We start from the raw sequence: 26,877 nt of genomic DNA, 5'->3' as shown, positions 1-26,877 counted from the left end.
GCAACTGAATTCAAAATCCAGGCTGTAGAATACTTTAAATATGTGCTGGGATGGACAAAAGGAAAGCTATTTGAGTATTTCTGAAAGTTCTTATTTTGAATAATAATTCTGTATTATTGTATGAGGCAAGATGTCTAGTTAAAACTTATGCTGGTTTAGTCAAGATTATTATCCTTTTACAATCTCTTTGCCCCACAGGATCCCACAGAGATAAATATTTAACTCATTGCATAAAAAAGTGTTAGAAGCAGGAGGGACCTTACAAATAATCTAGTTCAGAGATTCTTAAAGTAAGATCTATTAATGGCTTTCAAGAGGAATGGAATCATAAGCGTGCAATATTTTCGTGGGCATATAGAAATATATCTATTTTTTATTTTTAAGTGAAGGAAATAGGCAGTTTTCAAGACGTTCTTAAAAGGCTCCAAGATACACCCCAACAACTAAGACCACTGACTTGTCATTCAATGCCCCTATTTAACAGTTGAGGAGGGAAAGACCCAGACAAATGCAGTAAGTTGCCCAGTGTCCCATAACGAGATAGTGGCAAAGCCCAGCATACAACATATACCGTTTAAAGTCTTAGTGTACAACTTAACAAAGTTGAACTAAATTATTTCAATTGGTCTCCCTTTAGCTTTTAGACTTTCTGTAAAAAATTTTAAAATCTAAGATTTGGATGGTTTTCATTAGTGAATGGAAAGGAAAGTTGCCATTTAGTATATTTAGTATATGTACATTTAGTACATAGGCTACAGTGGATATAGTAGATCCCCCTTCTGGGTAGGTATCATTTAGTGCCAAACATGCAGATGATAATTAACAAAATGAGGCCAAATCTCTAAATATCTTGCCATCTTGCCTACATTTTCTGGAATATACAGATAATAAAAATCCCTGAATATTTTCCATTTTCATATGAATGCTTGACATAATATAGATGACCGTACCAGAACATACAACCATTTTGACCATTACATTGTAATGGGAAAATGGTATAGATAGTACCCAGGAGGTACACAAGCAATTTTGAGAGACACAAAGTTAAGAACATGGAGAAATAATGGATAAGGTCTTAGACAGTTTGACTATACATAGTATAATGGTGTGGTATGTATTTTAGTGAAAAAAATAATAATGAATTGCATACTTGAAATGTGTATAAATGGTCTTTTATGCTTAGTAAGCAAGTGTGAATGAGGTGATCTTATGGTAGGCATCCATCTTGCTTTTCCACATGCAAAATTCTAAAGATTATGCCATTTATCACAGAACAAAGCTTTAGATGGAAGGACTTGTGTCCATGTATAAGCCCTGCCTATAGAGAGCACTCAGTCAGTCGTGGCTGTAATTATCTTTAAGAAGGAAGGATCTAGACTTACAGTCAGATAACAATGCTTACATCATGGCCCTGCCATTTACTATTACCTACATTTATCTAGTGCATTTCTGAACCAAATTTCATTGGAGTTACAGTGAGGCTGTAATGGCATTACAGTGAGAGTTAAAATATGAAAATAAAGTTTTCCTTTATCTTCAAAGTTTAATTTAAACCTTCAAAATAAAAACAAAGGACTGCTGAGCTGACATTTTATACAAGCATAAAATGGTATATGCTTCATGGTACAACTTCTAATTAAAAAAACCTATTAGTTCATAGTAAGATATCACATTTTAAGAATTCACTTTCTATTGTGTTATTTATGTTGCTACAGGTTTTATGTTGCAGCAACTTAAAAATTTTATAGTTAAGTGGCATTATGAGGTGGAACTATTAGGAAGTGAAGCTTATCTACTAAATTATCATTTTAATAATTTAATTACATCAATTATAGAAACATCTTGAAAGAGATCTATACAAAACAATCAATTAGAAAGTAGACTTACATCACCTGACATTTGGGAAAAAAATGTTTCTGTAAAAATTTTTACCTTGGTGATGAGTCATGCTTCAACAAACTGTTAATGCAATTGACTATCCAACTAAAGAGACGTCCATATAAAGTTTTAGCCATGGCATCCCTGACATCGGTAGCTTTTTCTACAGTATTGGGTCGTATAATTGTTTCTCCTCTAGTGACCACACAGTGGGAGGTGAGAGCTTCTTGTAGCTCATCTGCCCGAATGCAAAGCAAAGAAGCACCTGAAAAACAAACAGATGCATTGTTAGAAGAAATTATGGCAATGAGGTCACTCCCCAAAAATGAAAATGTCTTAATCTGCCTTCTTCAAATGACATGAATTAAATGTGTGGAGATTATGTAATGTAAAAATATGATACTATCCAACATGAGTCCTATGTCTCTTCTTGATCATTTTTCTCAACTTTTCTCAGCTGGTTAAACTTAGGTTACTGCATATTATAACATAACCCAAATCACACTGGCTGGCAGAGTAATACAGCTGCATAAGCGAGTGGTTGTTTATGTGATGTCAAATATAGTTTCACTAAATTATGCTAAATAATTTTAAAACATAATGAATAGATTTGGCATAATTTGGATACCATTATTATATACATATTTTCAAAATGTAGAAATTAACTGGAACAGGTTACTTAGACTTCAGGGGTATACCTCAATAAATGTATTTCAAGTACCTTCTGCAATACACAACAGAAAGAGCACAAACTTATCTTGACATTCATGTACTTATACTTGACATTCATGTACATATCATCCTACTTTTTAGTTTCATACTTCAATTACTAAATTTTGTTAAAACTGGATGTTTGAACAAACATTTATTTGGCATTTAATGTTGATTACATTTCATGGGGAATTTAAAATTAGTAACACTTTAATTCCGTGAACAAAACTCATTTTTGAATATAATAAACATCTTTAACCAAAACTATTACATGACAGATTGGCTAATTTTTCAAATCTGTTGTTCTCCTTTTAAAATATTTTGAACATTTTACATTTACTTTTAGCACTTGTGACAAGATGTTTCTTGGTTATATGGCTAAGATTGTTAAACCCTATATTTTTTCATATCGTGGAAGTACGATAGGCTCATTGCAGAAATTTTACCTTCTAAGTTAACATTCTGCATTTCTTTCCTTCTAGGCATATTTACTACCATTAGTCTGCATAAACATTTTATCTCATATAACATCTTATGCATTTCCCATTTTGTTCAATATTGTCTGTAAATATGCTTTAATTTGCTGCATAATATTTTGACAAATATGATAATATATCAATAATTTTAAAAAATGCCAGGATAAATATTTTAAGCATAAATCTGTGTTTATATTTTGTACTATTTTCTTAGCATAGGTTGCCTAAATTCAGCAATTTTTCAAAATACGTAAATATGTAAAAGTTTTTTTTTTTTTTTTTTTTTTGAGACAAAGTCTCGCTCTGTCATCCAAGCTGGTGTGCTACAGCACAATTATGGCTCACTGCAGCCTCAAACTCCTGGGCTCAAGAGATCCTCCTACTTCAGCCTCCCATGCAGCTGGGACCACAGGCGCATGACAACCTGCCTGGCTAATTATTATTATTATTATTTGGTAGAGATAGTGTTTCGCCATGTTGCCCAGGCTGGCCTCGAACTCCTGGGATCAAGAAAGGTCTTTTTTGTTTGTTTGTTTTTTGTTTTTTGTTTTAGATGGAGTCTTGCTCTGTCACCCAGGCTGGAGTATAGTGGCACGATCTCCGCTCACTGCAAGCTCCGCCTCCTGGGTTCACGCCATTCTCCTGCCTCAGCCTACCAAGTAGGTGGGACTACAGGTGCCCGCCACCACGCCTGGCTATTTTTTTGTATTTTCAGTAGAGACGGGGTTTCACTGTGTTAGCCAGGATGGTCTCGATCTGCTGACCTCGTGATCTGCCCGTCTTGGCCTCCCAAAGTGCTGGGATTACAGGCGTGAGCCACTGGGCCTGGCTGAAAGTTTTTTGATATATACTATTTAACTGCTCTTCAAAATCTCTGAACCAATTACACTCCTCTCAGCCAAATAAAACACCAATAACTTCAATTCAATTTCATGGACATCACGGACTATCATTTTTCTAAAATAGCCAATTTGATAGGAGAAAATGTTTTCTATTTATTTGTAATTGATTCCTAGTGAAGCTGAATACTTTTTTCTTCCATATTTTTATTGGTAACTTCTGTTGCTTAGTTTGAAAATTGCAATATTTTCATTGATATGTTCATCTTTTCCTGATCAATTTATATGAGCCTCTTCATAGCTTAAAGAAATGCTTTGATATATATGTTGCAAATATTTTCCCTCAGTTTCATTTGTACTGCAATTTTATTTATGCTTTCTTTTTTTAGTATAAAAGTTTTAATTTTTATGTAGTCAAATATCCACTTTTTAAAGAAAATAATTTGTGCTTTTGATTTTCTACACATAAACTTCAAGTCCTTTCTCCCCTCAATATTATATAAATCAATTCCAGTCTCTCTTATGATTTTTTTGCATTTAAATTTATGTGTGTTTGGAATTCATTCTGATATACAGTATATAAGAATGATTCAAATTCCTCCTCCCCAAAATGGTTAGCTAGTTCCCTACAATACCGATTCCCTAGTGATCTGTGATGCCATTTTTGGTAATATACTTTGGATCTGTTTCTGAACAGTGTCTCCCACTGATCTGTATGTCTATTTCTGTTCCTACATTGTTTATTTATTTGACATACATTTATTGTCTACTACATGCTAGGCATTTTACCTGGGGATAAATTGCTAAGCACAATACTTTATAAAACAAAGCACTAGTCTTGATTATCTTTATCCAGCAAGAATGGGAAACCAGTAAGAAATTTAAGCAGGAAGAGAAAAGGAGAAGGAGGAGAAGGAGAAGGAGGGGGAGAGGGAGGTGATGGAGAGGGAAAGGGGGAGACTGAGAGAGCCCACTGATAGATGGGTTATGTGGTTTCTGAAAGAATTGTGGAGAATGACCTGGAAAAAATCAATTCTTGATGTGAAATGAACAACTGGGAGGTCACTTAGTTCAGGTGAGAGGTGATGTTGTTTTTGATGAGAATGGTGACAATGATGATAAAGAGAAGTGGTCAGATTTGAGAGATATTTATGGGACAAAATGGTCAGAACTGGTGCTTAATTGAAACAAGGCTCTTGTAAAACCATATGGAAATGCAGCCTTGGTTTGGACATAATTCCTTATAACTTTCAATTAGAAATCATTTTAATGTAAATTAATAAAGTTTCTACTTTCCATGAGTGGTTATTCCAGAAAGTATGTTAATTTTAATGATATTCATATTAATATCAACATTTTGTAACTTATATGACTGTCTTCTGTTATGCAGAAATAGGTTCTCAATCATCAAAATCATTTTTTAGTATGGTTGTTTCTAGGTATACTCTTATCTACAACCTATCTCTATTGCAACTCATTCCATTGGCTGCTGCTAGCTCTTCTGAATATGATCAGATGTGAGATTTACATCTTATCAATGGAGTTGTAGGGTTATTCTTTCTACTTCTGATAAGTTAATATCATACATGCCAATTAAAAATTTTTAAATATGGAAAATTAGAACATGTTTCCTTGAGGTTTCCAGGCACATGCCGGTCACTACATGCCAATTCCATACACTTGTGCTACTGTATTATCACATTGGCTCCAGAGACACAGTGGGATAGCATTTATAGGGATGCTGGGGACAGGTCCAGACCAGGATAATCTGGCACTTAGCCCCCTAAAACTACACCATCTCACTCTGTTCCTAAGCATAAATCAGGAAAAAGTATATAAATAAAAATTTGTATCATGATTCTCCATTTTGTGTGTGTGTGTGTTTTGAGACAGAGTCTTGCTCCGTCGTCCAGGCTGGAGTGCAGTGGCACGATCTCGGCTCACTGCAACCTCTGCCTCCTGGGTTCAAGCGATTCTCCTGCCTCAGCCTCCTCGAGTAGCTGAGACTACAGGCGTGTACCACCATGCTTGGCTAAGTTTTGTATTTTTAGTAGAGACAGGGTTTCACCATGTTGGCCAAGCTGGTCTCAAACTCCTGACCTCAGGTGATCCACCAGCTTCGGCCTCCCAAAGTACTGGGATTAGAGGTGTGAGCTTTTGGACGAGGAGTGATTCTCCATTTGTTATTATTAATGAAACAGCAAATATGCAATTATGAAAGCATGTGCCAATATTAAAAATAAAATAACAGGGCATACTAGGCAACACTAAATAGAAAAAAGCTGTGCTGTTGAAGATATTAATGGAAAACCTTAAATTACTGGAAATAATTTATCAAACTCTACTATTAAGAAAAACTTGATTTGAAGCAAATACTATGACATGCTTCTCTTGTGTAGAAATGATCGCAAAATTAATCAACCCAGGATGAATGGCTGTAGAATCCATCTAGTATGGAAACATACAGGTCTTTATTACTTGTAAAATGGTATAGATGCTAAATCTATAAGACAATAACATAATTCTTTTTCAGATCAGTTTACTGAATTTTAACTATACTATCTGTGCTTTTATATCGAAATGTAAATAGCTCCCAAAATAGTTGTAAAAGCCTAGTCTTCAGAAATGTGTTCTACAGTAATCAGTTAATTTGTAAGCATGAAGATGTTTTAAGTAGTGGACTTTAAAATTTTAATTTTACACACATTAAATCTGAGTATTCTTTTAAGGATTCTAGGTTAGCACAATTGCTTGAAATGGTCCTTATGTGATACTTATGGTATGTCATAAGATTTGAAAGATTTCAGTTTTGAATAGAAGGTAATAAAACTTACAGTTCTCCAGGGCTGTATGATTAGAAATGTGGCTCTTGTCAATCTGGTGTTCAGTTGCCACAGAAGAAAATTCAATGTTGCCAACATTCAAGATTGCAGCGAGTATGCTGTATATACTACCAAGTTGCTGAAACACACCACAGAAACATTGGCATCATTCTTTCCTTGAGTACAGCCAACCAGTGACTATGGCTGGGGACAGACTGGAAGAGAACCCTCAGGCCCTTTCATATCTATCCACAGACTATGATGACGCCACACTGAGATCCAAGTAGGCTCAGCCTCATTCATTATTTTAACCTCAGAGGTTAGCATAGTGCCTGTTACTTAAAATAAATTTTAAGTGCTTAAAAATATTTTATAAATGCAAATATGAATAAAAAATAAAAATGAGAAGCTGTTCTCAGAGGAAGTAGAAATGCCTCATTCATTAGGCCATAGATAAATCTATCCATGCAGAATTTAATTTCAGAACTTAGTGTGGTTGTTACCATATGGATTTTCCTTGAGGCCATCTTAAAAGTGAGGCTATATGTATGAATAAAGGAGGACTAAGAAAGAAAAATCAAAAGATCCCAGGACCAAAATCAAAGGATATGTGTCGTTTAAATGTAAGCGTAAGATTTTTTTTTTTCTTTTTTGAGACAAAGACTCACTGTTGCCCAGGATGGAGTGCAGTGGCACTATCTCAGCTCACTACCGCCTCTGCCTCCTGGGCTGAAGTGATCCACCCACCTGCGACTCCTGTGTAGATGTACAGTTGCATGCCACCATGCCCAGCTAATTTTTTTTTTTTTTTTTTGGTATTTTATAGAGACAGGATCTCGCCATGTTGCCCAGGCTGGTCTCGAACTCCTGGGCTCAAGCGATCTGCCCACCTTGGCCTCTGAAAGTGCTGGGATTATTGGTGTAAACCACTGTGCCAGGCCACATAAGAATTTTAGATGACAGTATAGAGTTTATAGTAGTTATTACTTCTTTAACATACATTCCTAATTAAGGTACATCAAATTACATTCAGAAACACATAACACACATATATGATTCTTTTTGGAGACACTGGAGGCATTTATCAAGGAGTCTATGGTAATTCTAGCTCTTCAACTATGTTCATGGTGCAGTGAAGTACAGGAAAGAGGCAACATTCTTTACTGTTTTTACAAGTTGCTGCATCTATTCCAGCCCAGCTCCTACACTTAACAAAGGTGATTATTCCATTCACTCCCATATTCCAAGTCCAGATAAAAGCTGGATATGAAAAAACATCTTCAAGGCATGCATTTACTCATACATAATATACATATATATGTAATAAATACATAAACAACAAATATATTTGTTGAATGAATATATATGTGGGATATCTATTCATTGATCTAATAAAAACATATTTTATGCCAGGCACTGTTCTAGTCACAGGTAATTCAGTAGCAGATAGGCTAAAGATCCTGGTTTCCTTGGGGTGTTCAGGCCGTGGGGAGGCAGACAGTAGGAAAATAAGCAAATAAATAACATGATATGTTCAGAAAAAAAATTACAAGGGCTACGAAGAAAATAGAGCCAAAAAGTGCTAACTTAATAAAGAGGAGAGTTCCTGGGAAAGGATGGGCAGGCTTTTTCAGTTAGGAGGTCAGGGAAGGCTGCCCTTGGAGGAGGCCATCAGGAAGTTGAGGCCTGAATGACAGGAAGGCACCAGACATGAACTATTCTAGGCAGAGGACAGCAAAGGCAAAAACCTTCCTAGAGGAAAGAAGGAAGACATACGAGGGCTGGAAGAGGGTGAGGATGAGGAGGAACAGTGCAGTAAGAACTCAGAGAGGTGAGCCTAGGCAAGACCACCCAGGCTCCCTGGGCCAACAGAAAGAGCTTGGAGCTGGGCACTGTGGCTCACACCTGTAATCCCAGCACTTTGGGAGGCCGAGGCGGGCAGATCACTTGAGGTCAGGAGCTTGAGACCAGCCTGGCCAACACAGTGAAACTCCATCTCTACTAAAAATACAAAAATTAGCGGGGCGTGGTGGTGTGCACCTGTAATCCCAGCTACTCGGGAGGCTGGGGCAGGAGAATCACTTGAACCCAGGAGGCGGAGGCTTCAGTGAGCCGAGATCGTGCCACTGTACTCCAACCTGGGTGACAGAGTGAGACTGGGACACAATTAAAAAAAAAAAAAAGCTTTGATTTATGTGCTAATTGCCAGAGAAAACTACCAGAGATTTCAGAGTGGGAAGCAACATTATTTTTGTGTTTTAAATGGATGAGTCTAGTTATCCTGTGAAACTGAGTGGACTGGGGCAAGATGGAAAAACTCAGGAGCTACTGCAATGGTCTAGGTGAGAGATAACAGTGGCTTGGATATAACAGTAAATGGTAGAGATGGAAAGAAGTAAATGGATGTAGGGTGTATTTCAGAAGTGTAACAATACATATGCTGATATATTAGATGTAGATCATTTTTCTAAGGAAACTCTGATAAGGAATTAGCATTTGTAATATGTATAACTTGCAATGAAGGAACCAGCATGGGCTTTCATGGCTTTCAGGTGGAAAAATTCATACAGCATCTGACATTGTGCTGTATTTTTCTTGAGGAAACTATAGGCCTTAGGAAAAAAAAAACCCTATTAAAAAGTGGGCAAAGGATATAAACAGACACTTCTCAAAAGAAGACATACATACAGCCAACAATCACATGAAAAAAGCTCAATGTCACTGATCATTAGAGAAATGCAAATCAAAACCACAATCAGATACCATCTCACACCAGTAAGAATGGTTATTATTAAAAAGTCAAAAAATAACAGATGCTGGTGAGGTTGTGGAGAAAAAGGAACGCTCCTACACTGTTGGTGGGAGTCTGAATTAGTTCAACCATTGTTGAAGACAGTGCGGCAATTCCTCAAAGACCTAAAGACAGAAATACTATCTGACCCAGCAATTCCATTACTGGGTATATACCCAAAAGAATATAAATTTTTCTATTATAAAGATACATGTATGCATATGTTCATTGCAGCACTATTCACAATAGCAAAGACATGGAATCAACCTAAATGCCCATCAATGATACATTGGGTAAAGAAAATGTGGGACATATACACCATGGAATACTATGTAGCCACAGAAAAGAATGAGATCATGTCCTTTGCAGGGACATGGATGGACTGGAGGCCATTATCCTTAGCAAAATAGCGCAGGAACAGAAAACCAAATACTGCATATTCTCACTTATAAGTGGGAGCTGAATGATGAGAACACAGGGACACATAGAGGAGAACAACACACACTGGGGCCTATTAGAGGTTGGACAGTAGGAGGTGTGGCACAGGGTAGGAGGAGGGAGAGGATCAAGAAAAATAACTAATGGGTACCAGGCTTAATACCTGGGTGATGAAATAATCTGTACAACAAACCCCCGTGACACACGTTTCCCTATATTAATAAACCTGCACATGTACCCTGAACTTAAATAACAGTTTTTTTAAATGTGTTTTTTTACCCTCGATAAGGATGTTACCGATATAATGAGTATAAAACTGGTCTATGAACTTGGAAGTATATAAAATGATGCAGAATTCCATCATAAAGTTTAAGGGATTGGTTGAATCCAGCAAAATAATGAAGAGGCTTGGCTGTATACAGAGTTGCATCTCCAAATCCTACCTACCCAAACCTGCAGAAAAATTCTTCAGAGAGGTTATAATGAAAATTGAGTAGGAGTAACACCTGAAATATGCCCAGGGGAATGTATGATACACCAAGTATCACAACTAAATATCAGCTGAAAGGTACATCTTGGGGTTCCCCAACTGGATCTGATGAGAACAGACCCAGATCTATGGCTTGGATTAAATGACCTTAAAATAGTGGTTCTCAATTGTGGGGAAAGGAGTAACAACTCTGCCCTCACAGGACATTTGGCAATGTCTGGAGACATTTTTGGTTGTTACAAATGGGGTTGGAGTGCTACTGGCATCTATGGAGTAGGGATCAAGGGTGCTGCTAAACATCCTACATCACACAGGAGAAACCCCACAAGAATTATCTCACTCCAAATGTAAATAGTACTGAGGTTGAGAAACCTTGTCCCAGAAAAATGCAGGATCTAGATTTTGGAGAAAGTCTCAAAATGCTTTGTCCCCAAAGAATAGTCCTGAACTTTTAGTCTCAGCTCATAATCCCAGGAAAATATAAAAATAAGAATAGAGGTATTGAAGTAAATGAAATCTGTAGCATCTGTTGTGGGTTGAATTGTGTCCCCCTCAGATTCATATGTTGAAGTCCTAAGTCCCAGTACTCAGAACGTGGTCTTATTTGGAAATAGGCTCATTGCAAATGTAAATAGTTAAGATAAGGTCATACTGGAGTACAGTGGATTCCTAATCTACTATACTGGTGTCTGTTTAAAAGAACACCATGTGAAAAGACAGACACACACAAGGAGAACACCAGGTGAAGACAAATTTAGGTGGAGATGGGGTGATGGACCTGCCGTACAAGAATACCAATCATTACTGGGGAACCACTAGAAACTCGGAGCGGAGCATAGAACAGATTCTGCCTCACAACCCTCAGGAGAAACAAACCCTGTCCACATCCTAATCTCAGACTTTGAGCCTCCTGTGCTGTCAACAATAAACTTCTGTGGTTTAAGCTACAAAGTATGTGGTAGTTTGTTATGGCAGCCCTAGCAAACTAATGCTTTTTTTTTGTTAAATTTATGAATAAGATATGTAATCTTGGAAGAATCAGTGTGTTTATTCTTAAATATCTAAAACTGTTAATATGTGAGACACAGTAAAGATCATATTAGTGACATAGTAAAGCATCTGACAATTAGTCTTGTGACTTAAATTTAAATACTTATTTGATATTACACTTATGACTTTAATTTGAAAAGCAGAACATATTTTGATTGCAAACTGCATTCAAATGTAAAACAACTTGATTTACTACATTAATAATTTTGAATTATTAGATCTTCTTATGCACTAGTAAGTTTAAGTGCATAAGAAGATGTGGTAAATTATTAGAAAGTTTAGAAGGCACTTATCAGTCCTTGTAAGCCTGCCCTGTCCATCATTTGGAGCATTCAAAAGACTGAGATGTACTAAATTTTTATATAAGTTCAAGTGTTTAAGAGAATTTAGTTATGTTTGTTTAGGGCAATGTAAAGTTATGTTTATGAGTTAAATGAATAAAGAAAAACTGACTAAGATTTTTTTCTATTCTTATACAAAAAACTGTTGGATTCATAAATTGAATAAAATGATGAGTGAGCAGAACTTAAAAGCTTAAGAAAAAATCTAGATATAGGTACATGGTTTCAAAATCATTAATACATACACTGAATTAATTAAATATAAGCAACTGTAAATTGTCCTTTCTGAGCACAAGCATGCCTTCTTTGGATATTAAAAACAACTAACAGGTGAACTGCCTGCATTTAGTTGCATATTTATCTGTCAAGGTGAGGGTCATACCTAGACTCAAAAGCATGATTAGCACACAGCTTGCCTCTGCCATGATCCTCTTCTTGACCAGTCTCCTTGCCTCTGGTCTTGCCACTCGCCGATCCGTCTTCCACACGGCTGTCAGAGTGACTTTTCTAGCAGGCAAATCACATCTTCCTATGTCTCCAGTTAAAATCCTTCAATGGCCCCTATTCCCCTAGCAATAAACCTCCAGCTTCCTACCAAGGCATGAGAAGGAAGGTGCCACATCTTCTTGTGCTTGACTGCCTGTCCATTGTCATTTCCAGCTAGTTTTCTTTGACATATTTCAGCCAGCCAAACTCCTCGTAGGTTCCCAAGCATTCCATGTTATTTTGTTAATTTCATGTCTCAGTTCTGGCTTATGCTGTTCTTTTTTTCCCATTCTGGGGTGTTCATTTTTCCACCCCAGACTTCGTGTTTCCGTGAAATTCTCTGCTCTCATAGAATTTACTACATTTTATTGAAATGATGCCTAGTGTATATTTCTTCTATCAGATTATAAACTTACTGAGGACAAAGACTGTGACTAATTCACATCTCTAACTTTTAGCACAGGGCCTGGTACACAGGTAGTACTCAATAAATGCTTGTCAAACTGTTTTCTTTTGTTTCAATCAAGTGACAGTACAATTTCCTTCACTTTCAAAACAGAATCTTTCTTATTTGTTTTATGTCTCTTAATCTGTGCCTCATTGTTTCTACTTATCTTTCTCAGAATTTTTTTATAAATCTAAATGTCCTCTTCTTTTGACGTCAAACTTTGCATCCTCAGTGAGTGGTTAGAGTTTATGAGAACAAAAAGATCTCACTAAGCCAAGTTGTTTTTTTTCCAAAAGCCAATTAACTTCTCTCAGTGGCAGAGCCCTGTGGTTGGGAAATATATGATTTCCTTTTCAGTGATTTTGTTTTGGGAATGGAAGCAACAGTCCATGCAGGGTAGACTGAGTTCGGTGCACAGAGTTGTTTTGGCAACATGTGCTAAGTCCTTTCTTAGGGCCTCAACCTATACCTGATGCCTAACTGATGCCCATGTGAGAGAGGACTGGGAGAGAGAACAATGACCAGATCTCAAAGTAGGTGGGGGTCATCATGGACCAGGACAAAGTGGCCCATCCCTGGCAGATCTGGCACCATCCAGTCTAATCCTTGGAAGGCCATAGTGTTGATGCTCCTGTTGAGAAAGGACAGGGAGGCAGGCTGGGGTGGAGGGAGGTTGGGGAGGAGGGAACCCAGGATGGGATGTTACTGCAACTCACATACCAGGCAGATAAGAACTGATGGGATAGAAGGAGATGCTCTGCAATCAGCATTTGCAGCTGTTGGTATGTGAGATATTAATATGTTCTCTATTCTTAGGTTCAATTCTGCAGACACTTAAAGCAATAAAACAGCATGAGCAATCTGCAGAAACTAGAAGGAAATTAAATGCCCCTCAATTTTAGTCATGGAATCATAGAGTTCGAAGTGATTCAGAAATTAATTATCCCTTTCCCCTCCTTTTACTGGTAAATAAGCTTAGACCAGAAAGTTTAGTTATTGGACACACAGCCAGAAATAAGCAGTGTCAAGGACTTTAGCCTAGGGATCTTGACTCCCTAGCACAGAATTATTTTTATTTTACCAACTACCTCCTTGGCTGCGTCATTTAGTTCAAGTCATCAATGTTGGCCAAATCATGGCATTCTGGAATTGTAACTTGTTTTATGTTTTTTGATTGAAAAAAATAACTTGGTATCAAATTGTTATTTTTAAGTTATTACAAACAACAAACCAAATGGAATACACACACCCTTTCCATTCTGGTCAAAATCAGTTTTTTTTTGTTTTTTTTTTTGTTTTTTTGAGACGTAGTCTTGCTCTATTGCCAGGCTGGAGGGCAGTGGCACAATCTCGGCTCACTGCAACCTCCACCTCCCGCGTTCAAGCAATTTTCCTGCCTCAGCCTCCTGAGTAGCTGGGATTATAGGTGCACGCTGCCACAACTGGCTAATTTTTTGTATTTTAAAAGAGACGGGGTTTCACTGTTTGCCCAGGCCGGTCTCAAACTCCTGAGCTCAGGCAATCCGCCCGCCTCAGTCTCCCAAAGTGCTAGGATTACAGGCGTGAGCCACCAAGCCTGGCCTAAAACCAATTTTTAAAAATGAAGTGAGTATTTCATGGAAATTCAATCCTTTTTGTGATGCTTTAAAATATTTAATTTCTTTCACAAATATTATTTGATCTTCCCTAAAGACATAACTAATAATCCAAAGAAAACATGCTAGCATGTGATTTTTAGACTATCATAAGAAATGAAAGCGCAATTAAAACAGAAAAAAGGCATTCTCATCTTAGACATAAGACATAAATTTGTGCAAAAAACCCCCCGAAAATTCCCATTATATGGTAAAAATTGTTTCTAAATGAGACAAACTACTCATTGAATCATCAAACTACTATGAATCATCAAACTACCAATCATTTATTTTAAAACTATGGCAGGGAAATGGCTTAGGAAATCATATGGTTTAACGGTTTCAGAGATTTCTAATTGGTGTTATTTTTAGAGAATATCTGAATTTGATTTGCCTGTCATTCCTTTGGATTGTGCTGAATCACAAATGCACACGTGAACTGTAAACTCTGAGAGTATTTAAAGGGACACATACACTTGGGGTGCTGTCAACACCAATGAGAGAGAGAGAGAGCAGGAGAGACAGTGAGAAAAAGAGACTGTATTGGAGAGTCACTCAAATTGTGCTGCAGTAAACTGTGAAGGTCGCATGCTGTGCTTAGAGGATGTCAGAATCATGCCACTTATCTTGATATTAAAGTTGCCTTTTACTATCAAAATAGATTAGAAGCAGCTATTGTCAAACAACATATCCAAGAAAGCCAATAAGATAGCATAAAAATCAATATTGGGGATAAAAAGGAAGTAAATGCTCATGCGGTTTATTTCTACCAAATCCAAACTGGGACAGTTTCTGCTGTTAGATGGGAGGCCACCACACCCTCGGAGAATCACCTTGAACTGGACTAAAAGCCTTCCCAAAATATCTAGCAGTGGTTGTGCTTCAGATCCAAAAACAGATGTTATATTTTCCTTTATCCTAAGCTATATGTTTAGATGTTCAATAAGCATTGAATATGTTTAAATTTGGAATATACAGTTTGAAATAAATAATTATATTTGTCAATAGATGCTAGCTGCAAAACTGGTTTCATTTTAATGTTAGTAAACATTAGTGTTACTAAACCAAGCAAGAGAAAGTAGTTGAGCCAAATATAAGCGAAACACTGCCTCTGATGAGTGGGACTTTGAAGTAAACAAACCAATTAAAAATGATCCTTGCTTCTAAGATAGCAAACTCTGAAAAAGTGAATGTGTAAGAAGCAGATCAACTCTGAAGACAAAAGGCAGGGAAAAGAGCTATGAAGAGGCCCAGCCCCTGGTCACAAGCAGGCACTGTCTTGTTTATTGTACATCTTCCAGTTAGAAGGATGCCCTGAGCTTCTATTAGCTGCTCCCGTTTTCCCCTAACCAGGCATCCAACAGAGCCAGGCACAGTTCACAAGGAGCATCTACCACTAGCAACATTGATCTTATGACCAAAGATTGAGGAAAAGAATGACTGCTGCTTTTTTCTTTATTGACTGAATCCCAAATAAATTGGCTCTGCTTTAAGAGCCAGGACACTGACTGCTTGAATCAGCTTGTCTTCATAGGTACAAACTGTGGGAAGAATGAGGACCCGATTAGGGAGGACTGAGGGAGGAGAAATGATGCAGTGGAAGGGGAGTGGCCAGATTTGAAACTGAATGTTGGCAGCAGGGAAAGATGCACCTGGAAGTGGTCATGCCTAGGAAAGGGTAGGGGTAGGGGTAGAATTAGGGTTAGGCTGACTAACAAGAGCAAAACACTCAAGTGGTCATTTATGATGCCTGGGACATCAGAATTAGAGCATAAGAATGAGACTATATTTAGAACAGGGTGGCATGTGGAGTCTCCTTGGAGTGTGCCCCTAGCTCATCTGTAGTCTTTGGGTGGGGGCCACATATCACCTGGAATATGGCTGAAACTCATGCTTTCTGAGTCAGGGAGTTCCTCTTCCAGAGTTGAAGCCATTATGAACACACTTATTTCTCTAGCATTAAAAATATCACCAGGCACAGCACCTCATGCCTGTAATTCCAGCTACTTGGGAGGCTGAGGCAGGAGGATCACTTAAGGCCAGGAGTTTCAGACCAGCCTGGGCAACATAGTGAGATGCATCTCTACAAAAAATGTTTTAAAAAGTTAGCTGGGCATGGTTGTAATCACCTATAGTCCCAGCTGATCAGGAGGTTGAAGTGGGAGGACAGATTGAGCTCAGGAGTTTGAAACTACAGTGAGCTGTACTACTGCACTCCAGCCTGGGCAACAGAGAGAGATCCCATCTCTTAAAAAAAAAAAAAAAAAGAAAAGAAAACCCAAAAAACGATTTTCCAGAAATATATCAGGGTCATCTCTGACTCCAGGTCCTACAGTTCAGACCTTGTTTCCAAAAGACAATCAGGTAAGGTCAATGGCACAAATTTCAGCATGATAGGATGCCTACCACGCAGACCTCATGGCATGTACAAGGGTATGCACACTCTATCCTTTACACGAGGTATCCATGATAAGTTCTAAATGCTTAGTGATCTCTCAATTGTTCAACTCCTACTCACTCCTCATCATTTTCTTTCAACTCTCAGACAAAAGGTGCTATGGTGAAGCCAATGTTCCTGTCCTTATGTATCATTCCAGACATCCTGACAACCTTTGCTGCTTAATTTTTTTTGGAGGGAGGGAGATGGGGGAATGAGATTCACATACTGGCCACTTAAGAACCAGGTACTGTCTCACTGTAACAAATTACAGCTAAGAGCAAAGTGTGAAAGCTTCTCCAAAAGCCCTCAGAGAAAATGCATTAAACAATGGATTTTTGTTCCATTTTATAGCCTAAAAACCATCTAATGCATTGAGAGAGAAGGGGCTCATTCATCTCCTTTCTGACCTAGAGACCACAGAACCACTGAGTTCCCAAATTACAGCTGCAGTGTAGTAGATATAGAATGGACAGCCTGACTTGTCAATCCAAAGTTCCAGGTAGGGTCCATGAATCAATGGAGAGAAAGCATGATTCAGAAATGAAGATGGTCAAGTTGGAGTCTCTACTTTTAAGCCAAAAAGTCATTTAACTTCAGCTCACGACTTTTTGCGAGTAAAGTGTCTTCCTAAGGATGCATTCAATCTTGGCTTGCCATTGAGTCTAGAGTACAACTTTCTTGTTGTCCTTATAATTCATAATGTTCTGGTAAAATCAGAACTCTTTGGGGGAACTCATTGCAATAACTCCCGCTCTGGTCCCAAGAGGAATTGTTAATAATTCTTGATTGGTGCTGGAAATAGCCTTCCAGATTCCCCTCTGGCTCCTCAAACTCTTTCACCAGTTTCCCTACAAGCAATTAATTCCTCTAGAAACAGAGTAGCAATGTTTATTCAGAATTCAATGAGAGATTCTAAATTCTGGACCTGTAAAAGTAGCCAGGAAAGAGTCTCTTCATCAAATCTGAATTTCTCTTGGTTAAGGAGAAAGCCCATACTAGAAAAGTTTACTTTAAAAGTTGGAATGTTTCACAGCAACAATTGTTTGACTGTAACACACCAGATTATAGTAGTCCCCTCTAATCCATGGTGGATACCTCCCAAGACCTCCAGTGGATTCCTGAAATCACAGATAGAACTGAACTCTCTATATATGTACTATGTATTTTTGAACTGATAACCAACAGGGTTACTAATTGGCTAAGGGGCAGGTAGCCTATACAGCATGGGCATGCCAGACAAAGAGAAGATTCATTTACCAGCATGGAAGGAGTGGGATTTCATCATGCTACTCAGCACAGCATGCTATTTAAAACTGTTTATTTCTAGAATTTTCTGTTTAATATTTTCAAACTGCAGTTGACTACAGGTAACTGGGATTGCAGAAAGTGAAACTGCAGATAAGAGGGTAGTACTGTACTCTAAATATTCATTGTTACAGATACTGTCTGATTTGTCAGTTAAGTCTAACAAAGTTCCTTTCATAGTAATTTTTATTTCTCATTTCTTAAGTTAGAGTGGGCAACTTGTCATATCATTATTCTACATTTTCCATTCTTACATGGATTGTACAAAACAAAATCTCTCAAGAAGTCCTTATTAAATAAGATAGTGCTGAACTAAACAATTGGAATTCCATTTGAATCTATGTATTCTTGTTCTATCAAATAACTGTCTGGAAAATTTCTGGGTTATAAAGTTAGCTTTGGGGAGATGGATCAGTGAAGATTTCTAAGATCTTGATGGACAAAGATGGCACTGGATTTACCTAAACCTCCCTTGTAAGGCAGGGCCCTAGTTTCCAACCAAAATAAAATCCATTTACTCTGCTTCTTCTCCAACCTCACCCAGTTGGTAAAGATCACACTTCATCTTCTAGGGGTAAGGTCTTGAAAACATTCCCCAGTCCCCACCTCCTGTAAGCCTGCAGCAAGGATACTCAAGATGGAGCCAAAAGCTTTCAAAGAGAAGGCAAGACTGAGAGATTCCTGTCTTCAGAGCTGCCAAGAGCAGAATTTCCCTATTTGGAGAATATGCCAAAAGCACTTACATCTTTACAAATATTACTTTTGGCAAGCAGATGATCATGGAACTAAAGTTATTGCTGATAGTCTTCCATTTTAGAAGGGAGTCAACAGTGCCTTAAAAACAGACTACAAAATCATTAGATTCAATAATTTCATAGCATACAATTTGAATAATTTTTATAAAGTTTCACGTCTATTAGCATTTCTACACTTTATATATTGTTGATTAAATTTTCTAATTTTTTTGAGAATAATTGAAGAATTAGTTTTTTGTTTGTTTGTTTTAGCTTAAGCTCTTACTAGAGATCTGATAACCCAAGGGATCTTGGTAAACTTCTTAAGCAGACACATTGACTGTTTAAAGCTGCAGGAGTGTCATTTATGAAAATGAAATCAAAATTCAACAAATTGCGGAAAGAGTTCATCTAAAATTCCAGAAAGAGTTCATCTAAAAGCCTGATTCACATTTAGAGTAAAATCTTCTTTTATCACACACTCTGAATCAATGTAGCAAACAATAAACTGTTACGAGCAAAGTCTGAAAGCTTCTCTAAAAGCCTTAGGCGTCCCTATTAAACACGATACTTTGTTACAAAAATTAAAAAATACAACCTATGGGACATAAGGAAGTGTTTATTACTTGGGGATAAATTTCTAGCCTTAAATGCTTTCATTATTCAATAACAAATGTAAAGAAATAGAGAAACCAAGTATTCTCTTAAAAAAAAAGAACAGAAGAAACAAATGAATAAATTAATAAAAATATAAAAATCAAATTAAAACCAATAATACAGACAATGAAAACATTTATCGGATGGGTAAATGCATCCAATAGCTGTTGTGGTTTTGCCTTTCTCTTTTTTTTAAGATTCGAAACCCCCTTGTAAACCCAATTAAAGATAAAAGAGTAAGGGCAAAAATGAGAATTTCTATTTGGAATGAGAAAGGAAACAAAGCCAGAGATATGGGATTAATTTAAAGTATTATAAGAAAATTCAGCATGAAAATCTATGGCATAAGATTTCATGATAATTTCTTAGCAAAATACAAATAACCTGAAAGAGAAAAACAAATTCAAAAAGATAATTATCATAGAAGAATCAGAAAGGTAATTAAAGACTCAATATCAAAAAGGCCCAAGGGTCAGACACAGTTGAGTTTTACCCTAATCTTTTTTTTTTTTTTTTTTTGAGATGGTGTTTCACTCTTTTCGCCCAGGCTGGAGTGCAATGGTGTGATCTTGGCTCGTTGCAACCTCTGCTTCCCGGGTTCAAGTGATTTTTCTGCCTCAGCCTCCGAAGTAGCTAGGATTACAGGCGCCTGCCACCACGCCTGGCTAATTTTTTGTATTTTGAGTAGAGACGGGGTTTCACTGTGTTAGCCAGGATGGTCTTGATCTCCTGACCTCGTGATCCACCCGCCTCGGCCTCCCAAAGTGCTGGGATTACAGGCGTGAGCCACTGCGCCCAGCCTCTAATCTTTATTTAAGGTTTTAAAAGACATTGTCCCCAGTCTTCTCTAATGATAAGAATTACTTGGGGTGCTGTAATGGCAGCAAATACTAGATCTCTCCCAGAAATTTCTATACGGTAGGTCTGGTTAAGACTCATGTATGTGTGTCAAGGTGCTTCTTGTCTTCAGAGAACATTGGGAACTGATTTTAACTCACATAGGCCAAAGAAAAAAAGAAAAAAGCTCACTGGCATAACTTTAGTAATCAAATCTGATATAAAAGAAAAAAATAGATACATTTCATTGCTAAATATATAGATGCAAAAATTCGAAATAAAATACTAGCTCATAGATACAGAAATTTATCAAAAAGATGATAAAGATGGACTCTATTGGGTTTATTCCAGAAATGTAAGGATATTTAAATATTAAGAAATCTATCAACAGAATAAGGAGGCATCAACAAACTGCTGTAGGAAAAAATATGATTATATCAATAGCAGCTAAAAATAAATTTGGTAAAATTCAGCAGAATTCCTAATAACAACCCTAAATAAAACAGCAATAAAAGGAAATTAATTATGATAAATATTCTTTTCCAAAAAAATAGCAAAACACTAAAACCACTTAAAATCAGAAACTAGACTCAGAGGCCAACTATAATCATTATTACTTAATATTGACTTAGACTAGTCTTAGATGATCTAAGCACAAACAAGAAAAAGAAATGATGACATGACATGAAAGGGGTAAAACTCTTCTTTTTGCTAATGACATGATTATATATCTCAAAAATTCTGCCATTGGAAAATTCATTTCCCTTATAATAAAAACCTTAACATAGTTATTAATAAATTTAAAAATAAGATGCAAGTTCCAGATGAATATAAGTATAGATTATTATTAAAAACTCGAAACAGCATCTAAACAAAGTTGTAAGACAAAAAGTACATAAGTCGCTTCATAATTTGGGATGAGAAGACATACATATCATGAAAATCACAGTGCTCCAAAAATTAATATATAAATTCAATATAATTCTAATTAAAAGTCCAAGTGGGGTTGTTGGAATTGAATATATTGATCTTACAGTTTGTATGGACAAGCAATGCTAAACAATAGCTAAGGAAAATATGGAAAAGAAGAAAGCGAGAGCAGGAATAGCCTTACTAGAAAAACACAGAATCAAACCACTGTAATCAAGACAACAGAATACTGTATAGAAGTAGAAAACATAGATTGATGGCTAAAATAGAGGCATCAAAAATAGATTATATGTCATATAAGGCCTTAATATAGGATAAGTCAATTCTGGCTCTCCATCTGGAATAAAAGAAAAGTGGTGCTCCATCTGGTACCATAAAATAAATTTCAAATGATTAAAGATAAATTTATTTTTTAAACTTTCAAGAAAATCTAGGAGACTACACATACAACCTAGAGTTAGGGGAAAACTTTTTAACTGAAAGTAGAGACCTAGATACTATGAACAAAAACGTAAATTTGTTTGAATAAACGAAAATTTAGAACTTCATTATGGTAAACAAATATGACAAAAAGTAAGTCACAGACAAATTATACAAGTATAAAGAAACATTTATAACACAAATGATAGAAACATATAATGTCTATAATATTCAATGAGCCCTTACAAATTGACATAAAGCATATAAATAATTCAATAAAAGGGGCAACATATATAAATATACAATTCATAAGAGTAAATCTAAGCAGCTGGCAAACAAATAGAAAGATGTTCAAATATATTATTTGTCAAGGATACGCAAATTTAAAACAACATGTTACTTTCACCCACCAGACTAGGAAATATTTAAAAAGCCACAACACATTGCTGGCAGGAATGAGTGGGGGAAGGGTATTAATATGTATTGTTGGTGGAAATGTGAAGTGCTACAGAACTATTGGAAGGCAATCTTGCAAGTTCTATTCAAATTTAAAAAATATACACCTTTTAACCCAGAAATTCCACTACTAGGAACGGAACCTATTCCACAGAAAGAAATGAACCAGTCAATAAGGACATACTTCAGTTTTGCTCATGGTAGCAAAGATCTGGAAACATTTATAGTTATATGCCCAGTCATGGCTGAACGGCTGAATAAATTATGGTAGTACACACTGTGGAACATTATACTACCTTTAAAAGGGGTGATTCAGTGATATATTTGGTGATTTGAAGGGATTTTCACAGGTATTGCTGAGTGAGAAAAATCAGATATAGAAAAGTGTGTGTAATATAATCCCATATTAATAAAACAATGATCATCTCACCATATATATGCATGTGTCAACATCTGCATGGGTGTGTGTGTGTGTGTGTGTGTGTGTGTGTATCTATAAACAAGACTCTGGGACTAGGTAAATAAATATGGAATATTGGACTATGTATACATCCATTAACTAGGGGAGGAGAAAGAGAGCAGATGTAGATTTAAGGAGGTAAGATGGGGAAGAGGGAGCTGAACAAAAAAATTTTTTTAAAGGTGCTAGAAATTGACAAGGTGATCCTTCAAATTTATATTAAAGTTTAAGGGACTGACCCTGAAAAGCCAAAAAAAATTTTAAAAAAAGAACAAAGTTGTAGGAGGATTTATGCTTCCCAATCTCAATACTTATTACATAGCTGCGATACTCATGTGTGATACTGGTATAAGGATAAATATATAAATCAATGAGATAGAATTGAGAGTCCAGAAATAAACCTATATATTTGTGGTTAATTGATATTTGACCAAGAACAATGGGGAAAGGATAATCTTTCCAACAATGGTGCTGGTACACTGAATGTCCAGAAGCAAAGGAATGAAGCTGGATCCCTACTTCACAATATGCACAAAAATTAACTCAAAATGGAACAATGACCTAAATGTAAGAGCTAAAACTATACAACTATAAGAAGAAAGCTTAGGCATAAATCTTTGTGACCTTGGATTAGGCAATGGTTTTCTATACAACACTAAAATCACAAACAATAAAAGAAAAAACAGATAAACTGAACTTCATACAATTTAAAAACTTCTGTGCTTCAAAGGACACCATCAAGAAAGGGAAAATATAACAAATACTATAATTTTTTTTTTTTTTGCAAATCAGACATCTGATAAGGGGCTAGTATACCTAGATTATAAAAAATTTCTACAACTCAATAATAAAAAGACAATAACCCAATTAGAAAATATGCAAAGGATCTGAACAGACATTTATCCAAAAAAGAGCCACAGATGACCAATAAGTACATGAAAAAGAAGTTCAGCACCATAAGTTATTAGGTAAATTCACCCAAACCCTCATGTGATACCACTTCACATTCACTAGAATCACTATAATCAAAATGACAGATAACAATAAGTGTTGACGAAGACATGCAGAAATTGGAACCTTCAGACAGTGCTGGTGGGAATGTAAAATGGTGCAGTGATTTTGGAGAACAGTTGAACAATTTAGTGAAAAGGTTAAACAAAGAGTTACCCTATTCAGCATTTGCAATGCTAGGTGTATATCAAAGATAAATGAACACTTACATCCACACAAAATGTTGTACATGAATGTTCATAGCAGCATTATTCATAATAGACAAAAAGCAAAAACAACCCAAATGTTGCCCATCAACTAATGAATGGGCAAATAACATGAAGTATACCCATAAAATGAAATATTATTTAACAATAAAAAAATGAACTACTGACTCCAAGATGGCCGAATAGGAACAGCTCCAGTCTACAGCTCCCAGCGTGAGCAACAAGAAGATGGGTGATTTCTGCATTTCCAACTGAGGTACCAGGTTCATCTCACTGGGGCTTGTCAGACAGTGGGTGCAGCCCACGGAGTGTGAGCTGAAGCAGAGCAGGGCATCGCCTCACCTGGGAAGCACAAGGGGTCGGGGAATTCCCTTTCAAGCCAAGGGAAGCCGTGACAGATGGTACCTGGAAAATCGGGACACTCCCACCCTAATACTGTGCTTTTCCAATGGTCTTAGCAAACGGCACACCAGGAGATTATATCCCACACATGGCCCGGAGGGTTCCATGCCCACAGAGCCTCACTCACTGCTAGCACAGCAGTCTGAGATTGAACTGCAAGGTGGCAGCAAGGCTGCAGCCATTGCTGAGGCTTGAGTAGGTAAACAAAGCAGCTGGGAAGCTCGAAGTGGGTGGAGTCCACCACAGCTCAAGGAGGCCTGCCCGCCTTTGTAGACTCCACCTCTGGGGGAAGGGCATAGCTGAACAAAAGACAGCAGAAACTTCTACAGACTTAAACGTCCCTGTCTGACAGCTTTGAAGAGAGTAGTGGTTCTCCCAGCACGGAGTTTGAGATCTGAGAATGGATAGACTGCCTCCTCAAGTGGGTCCCTGACCCCTGAGTAGCCTAACCAGGAGACACCTCCCAGTAGGGGCCGACTGACACCTCATATAGCCAGGTGCCCCTCTGAGATGAAGCTTCCAGAGGAAGGATCAGGCAGCAATATTTGCCATTCTGCAATATTTGCGGTTCTGCAGCCTCCGCTGGTGATACCCAGACAAACAGGGTCTGGAGGGGACCTCCAGCAAATTCCAATGACCTGCAGCTGAGGGTCCTGACTGTTAGAAGGAAAGCCAACAAATAGAAAGGACATACACACCAAAAGCCCATCTGTACATCACCATCATTAAAGACCAAAGGTAGATAAAACCACAAAGATGGGGAGAAACTAGAGCAGAAAAGCTGAAAATTCTAAAAATCAGAGGGCCACTTCTCCTCCAAAGGAATGCAGCTCCTCACCAGCAACGGAACAAAGCTGGACGGAGAATCACTTTGATGAGTTGAGAGAAGAAGACTTCAGATGATCGGTAATAACAGACTTCTCCGAGCTAAAGGAGGATGTTTGAACTGCAAAGAAGCTAAAAACCTTGAAAAAAGATTAGACAAATGGCTAACTAGAATAAACAGTGTAGAGAAGACCTTAAACGATCTGATGGAGCTGAAAACCATGGCACGAGAACTATGTGACGCATGCAAAAGCTTCAGTAGCTGATTCAATCAAGTGGAAGAAAGAGTATCAGTGATTGAAGATCAAATGAATGAAATGAAGCGAGAAGAGAAGTTTAGAGAAAAAAGAGTAAAAAGAAACAAACAAAGCTTCCAAGAAATATGGGATGATGTGAAAAGATCAAATCTACGTCTGATTGGTGTACCTGAAAGTGACAGGGACAATGGAACCAAGTTGGAAAACACTCTTTAGGATATTATCCAGGAGAACTTCCCTAACCAAGCAAGGCAGGACAACATTCAAATTCAGGAAATACAGAAAATGCCACAAAGATACTCCTCCAGAAGAGCAACTCCAAAACACATAATTGTCAGATTCACCAAGGTTGAAATGAAGGAAAAAATATTAAGGGCAGCCAGAGAGAAAGGTCGGCTTACCCACAAAGGGAAGTCCATCAGACTAACAGCGGATCTCCTGGCAGAAACTCTACAAGCCAGAAAAGAGTGGGGGCCAATATTCAAAATTCTTAAAGAAAAGAATTTTCAACCCAGAATTTCATATCCAGCCAAACTAAGCTTCATAAGTGAAGGAGAAAGAAAATCCTTTACAGACAAGCAAATGCTGAGAGATTTTGTCACCACCAGGCCTGCCTTACAAGAGCTCCTGAAGGAAGCACTAAACGTGGAAAGGAACAACTGGTACCAGCCACTGCAAAAACATGCCAAATTGTAAAGACCATCGACGCTAGGAAGAAACTGCATCAAAGAACAAGCAAAATAACCAGGTAACATCATAATGACAGGCTGAAATTCACACATAACAATATTAACTTTAAATGTAAATGGGCTAAATGCTCCAATTAAAAGACACAGACTGGCAAATTGGATAAAGAGTCAAGACCCATCAGTGTGCTGTATTCAGGAGACACATATCATGTGCAGAGACACACACAGGTTCAAAATAAAGGTTTGGAGGAAGATCCACCAAGCAAATGGAAAACAAAAAAATGCAGGGGTTGCAATCCTAGTCTCTGATAAAACAGACTGTAAACTAACAAAGATCAAAAGAGACAAAGAAGGCCATTACATAATGGTAAAGGAATCAATTCAATAAGAAGAGCTAACTATCCTAAATATATATGCACCCAATACAGGAGCACCCAGATTCATAAAGCAAGTCTTTAGAGACCTACAAAGAGACGTAGACTCCCACACATTAATAATGGGAGACTTTAACACCCCACTGTCAATATTAGACAGATCAATGAGACAGAAAGTTAAAAAGGATATCCAGGAATTGAACTCAGCTCTGCAACAAGCAGACCTAACAGACATCTACAGAACTCTCCACCCCAAATCAACAGAATATACATTCTTCTCAGCACCATATCACACTTATTCCAAAATTGACCACATAGTTGGAAGTAAAGCACTCCTCAGGAAATGTAAAACAACAGAAATGATAACAAACTGTCTCTCAGACCACAGTGCAATCAAACTAGAACTCAGGATTAAGAAACTCACCCAAAACCACTCAACTACATGGAAACTGAACAACCTGCTCCTGAAT

At 37.3% G+C, this 26,877-nt stretch overlaps 1 protein-coding gene across 21 annotated transcripts in view; it reads right to left on the bottom strand.

Annotated features, from left to right (window-relative positions):
- MYO3A (myosin IIIA) overlaps positions 1-26,877 on the bottom strand; it is a 278,304-nt gene that overhangs the window by 84,992 nt on the left and 166,435 nt on the right. For 20 of the 21 annotated variants that reach the window (XR_930494.1, XM_011519498.3, XM_011519500.3 and 17 more), the window contains 2 exons: positions 6,739-6,865; positions 1,933-2,143 (listed from right to left, as the gene is read on the bottom strand). Coding sequence is in view for 20 of the 21 variants with exons in the window: in XM_011519498.3 (XP_011517800.1) it covers positions 1,933-2,143; positions 6,739-6,865 (338 nt within the window). In the remaining variant the exon portion in view is untranslated. The remainder of the gene's footprint in view (positions 1-1,932; positions 2,144-6,738; positions 6,866-26,877) is intronic. The other variant, XM_011519512.2, reaches the window with a different exon arrangement.

This window comes from Homo sapiens, chromosome 10 (genome assembly GCF_000001405.40).
Source record: "Homo sapiens chromosome 10, GRCh38.p14 Primary Assembly".
NCBI classification, from domain to species: domain Eukaryota; kingdom Metazoa; phylum Chordata; class Mammalia; order Primates; family Hominidae; genus Homo; species Homo sapiens.
Note: the sequence above shows the minus strand (reverse complement) of the source record. Positions and strands in the feature narration are given on the sequence as shown.